The 3,462-nt window shown below is 42.9% G+C and overlaps 1 annotated feature.

Annotated features, from left to right (window-relative positions):
- Nucleotides 2,303-2,539: a silencer, noted in NCBI's record as "fragment chrX:135014477-135014713 (GRCh37/hg19 assembly coordinates)". NCBI's record gives its function as "represses an EF-1alpha promoter that drives an FKBP-Casp9 reporter gene in an ReSE screen in K562 erythroleukemia cells {active_cell/tissue: K562}" and the evidence as "EXISTENCE:reporter gene assay evidence [ECO:0000049][PMID:32094911]".

The following is a 3,462-nucleotide window of genomic DNA, read 5'->3' as shown; positions in this document are numbered from 1 at the left end:
CCATCTTGACATGCCAGACTACTAGATTGTTAAACGTTTCACTCAGTTAGAAGGCCCCTGATTTTGTGTGGGAATTATTTATCACAGAATGTCTTGCAAGTGTGTTGCTAATGCGACTGGATTAGTTGCTACCTCCCGCTCAGTCAGCATAGTGTTATCAGTGCAAGGATGCTGTCACATCTGGTATAAGGGAACGGTGGTCAAGGACCCTTAAGGACTCATTTAGGATGTAAGCTTAGAGAGTTGATATAAGCTTGAAATAGGAGGTCATAGTACATTGCTGACCTTTCCAGCCGAACCCAAACTTGTTTGTGATAATGACTGAAAGAGAAAAAAACATTCACCTAATTGATATTATGTATCAGGTTCCCAGGGATGTCACAGTTACGAAAGCAACAAAACCACCTGGAGCACAGCAGCTGCAGTACCTCCCAGGTCCAAGCGATTCTCCTGCCTCAACCTCCTGAGCAGCTGGGACTGTAGTTGTGCACCATCACACCTTGCTAATTGTTTGTATATTTTAGTAGAGACAGGGATTCACCATGTTGGCCAGGCTGGTCTTGAACTCCTGACCTCAAGTGACCCACCTGCCTTGGTTTCCCAAAGTGCTGGGATTATAGGCGTGAGCCACCGTGCCTGGCCACAAATCCATATATTTCTGCACAGGACAAATAGTTCAGTTGAAAGGGATGGCTGAAGAATCACTAGCCTATGTCCTTCAAATGCTTGGTGTTACCACCAGTTACTGCAGTCCCTCCAGGAAAGTAGTATTGCTTGTGGATTATGATTTTTATAATTAGGGCAGTTCTAGTGGCTTCAGCTTGGCCTCTCCATCCATAGCATCCCTCACTCCACAGGTCAGGGAACCAATGTGGGGATTCTGCCAGTTACCGTGTACGTCCCCAACTATGCATTCTGAAACTGGGAAACAACCAGAAGGTGGATTCATGGACCAACTTAGTCCACTGTACATTGGACCTGATGTAAAACCACATGAATTTCCTGATGAAAAACCACATGATTAACAGAAACAACTCTTATTAGAGTAGCATAGGGACATTTTAGGTATCCTGGAATTAGTACCAGTTCAAAGCCTTTATCAAGTAATCCCTGAGAATTCTGATTACTTTTCCACCATGCACTGCCACAGTAAGAATTGGGCGCAGATCTGTTGAGGAAGGTCGGGACAACGATTAACAGCATAGTTATTAGGCAGTGCAGCATGATCTTTCCTCAAGGGCAAGCCTGCAGTAATGTATGACTAAAGAAGACAGCCACCACAAACTCCTCACAGATTTCTGGGCTCCGCATACAAAGTAATTTCTTGCAGCCTTGGTGAAAGTCACGTCCTCTGGACCTACCAGCATGGCTGAGCAGTTCTTCCATGATAAATTCACTCCAACATTCCAGTGTCCTTAAGCCTTTGGACTATATCAAGGAAGTCCTTGAATTTCTCCTTAATTAAGGATAGTCAACATTTGCTTCCTTATTTTAGTCAACCAACCAAGCAAACTGCTAGAGCCATCCTTACCCTCTCAAAGAAAAACACTGAATCCAGAACCTTGGCTTAATGACTCTATATTGATAAATCTGGTGTGTATCAAATTTATTTTTTCTCTACCTTCATACCCCACCCTCAAGAAACATTTCCACACAAAGTCCCTAGGTTTCTGCCTATTAGCGTTGGAAAAAAATATCAGTAGTTGTTATAGTACATTCTACCCCTACTAATGGGTCACATTATGTACCCTCTAGTTTGGGGCTGGTGGAAACTTGAGTCTTACAGGGTTTTAAATGAAGTAAAGGTGGTGGGTGCAGTTTCTCAGGAGGATCAACAGTGTCCTGCAAGGCCACTACCTCAGACCAGACTATTGCAGGTTCTTCAGGCAGAGGAGAAATAAACTCCTTGGGCGGGAGTGAAGGTGCTTTTTTTTACTTTTTTACACCTTTTTTTAGGTGTCTGAAAGACATATCTCACAGAATTTAGGGGTTCAAGGTACCCAGCTTCATCAAAGTCTGCATATATATCACATTAAAATGTTCAGGATCCCATTCATTCCCAGTCAGTGCTCTACATGAACAGAAGAGACCTTGAGAGATTAGGAATTGCATTCGTGTTGTAATTCAGCCAACTGCAAGATTCACCTTTGGATATGGTTTTCCCAAATATCAGGTATGTGGCTACGGGAGATAATGGGTTCTTTCATGGATGCTTTCTAGCTCTTTATGTGGATCTTGGTATGGATAAGGCTTTAAGGACCTGAGGTCATAATTTTCTTTTCCTATGTTCTCCAGCACATTTAGAGGCAACCAGTCATCTCCATTATACTCCTCATTTTCACTACATTGTTTTTTTTTCTACTTTATTTACTTATCCATTTATTTAAATTTTGAGAAAAGGTGTCTCTCTGTTGCCCAGGCTGGAGTGCAGTGGCATGATCCCGGCCCACTGCAACCTCCGCCTCTTGAGCTGTGGGCGGCAAGCCACCCAGGTGCCGAGGCAAGAGACCAAAGGCACAAGCTGTTTCAGTACAATAAAGGAAATATATACAATAAGAATATTCTAGAAATAGATTATAGATATGATTATATATGAATATTACTAATAATTAGTTTGTAGCATTACTCTTTATTACAATATTATAATAATCTTTGTTCTACAATGATAACCTAGGAAAAACCAGGCCATACAGAGATAGGAGCTGAAGGGACACGGTGAGAAGTGACCAGAAGACAAGAGTGTGAGCCCTCTGTTATGCCTGGATAGGGCCACTAGAGGGCTCCCTGGTCTAGCGGTAACCCAGTGCCTGGGCCTTACCCTGCTCCCTAACCTTGTATCCAATAAATAACAGCGCAGCCAGGTATTCGGGGCCACTGCTGGTCTCCGCGTCTAGGTGGTAGTGGTCCCCCGGGCCTAGCTGTCTTTTCTTTGTCTTGTGTCTTTGTTTCTACGATCTCTCGTCTCCGCAAACGAGGAGAAAAACCCACAGGCCCAGTAGGGCTGGACCCTACACTAAGCCCAAGCGACCTTCCCACCTCAGCCCCCAGAGTAGCTGGGACTATAGGCCTGCGCCACCATACTAGGCTTTTTTTGTAGTTTTAAAATTTTTATTTTATTTTACGTTCTGGGATACTTGTTTACGGAAATCACCTACTTGATCACCTAGACCCTGGCATTCTTACAGGTGCTTGAGTGCAAATAACTAAAAGTGATAATTTAAGAAAATCCCTTGCCACTTCTTGCTGTAGACTACCAGTGCTCTTTTACCATTAGAAACAGGGTCACGAAGGCCTTTAAATCAAATTAGATAAAAGAGAGAACTCCAGAAACCCAGAACAATTTCAGAGAATTTCTTCTTAAAATTCTGTTCTTCTGAAATCACACTTAATACCAAAATCTATATCAATCAAACTTCAACCAGGAAAGCAGAACCAATAGGCGATAATATCTGTGTGTACAGA

The sequence above is a fragment of the Homo sapiens genome, chromosome X (assembly GCF_000001405.40).
Source record: "Homo sapiens chromosome X, GRCh38.p14 Primary Assembly".
Lineage (NCBI taxonomy): Eukaryota > Metazoa > Chordata > Mammalia > Primates > Hominidae > Homo > Homo sapiens.
Note: the sequence above shows the minus strand (reverse complement) of the source record. Positions and strands in the feature narration are given on the sequence as shown.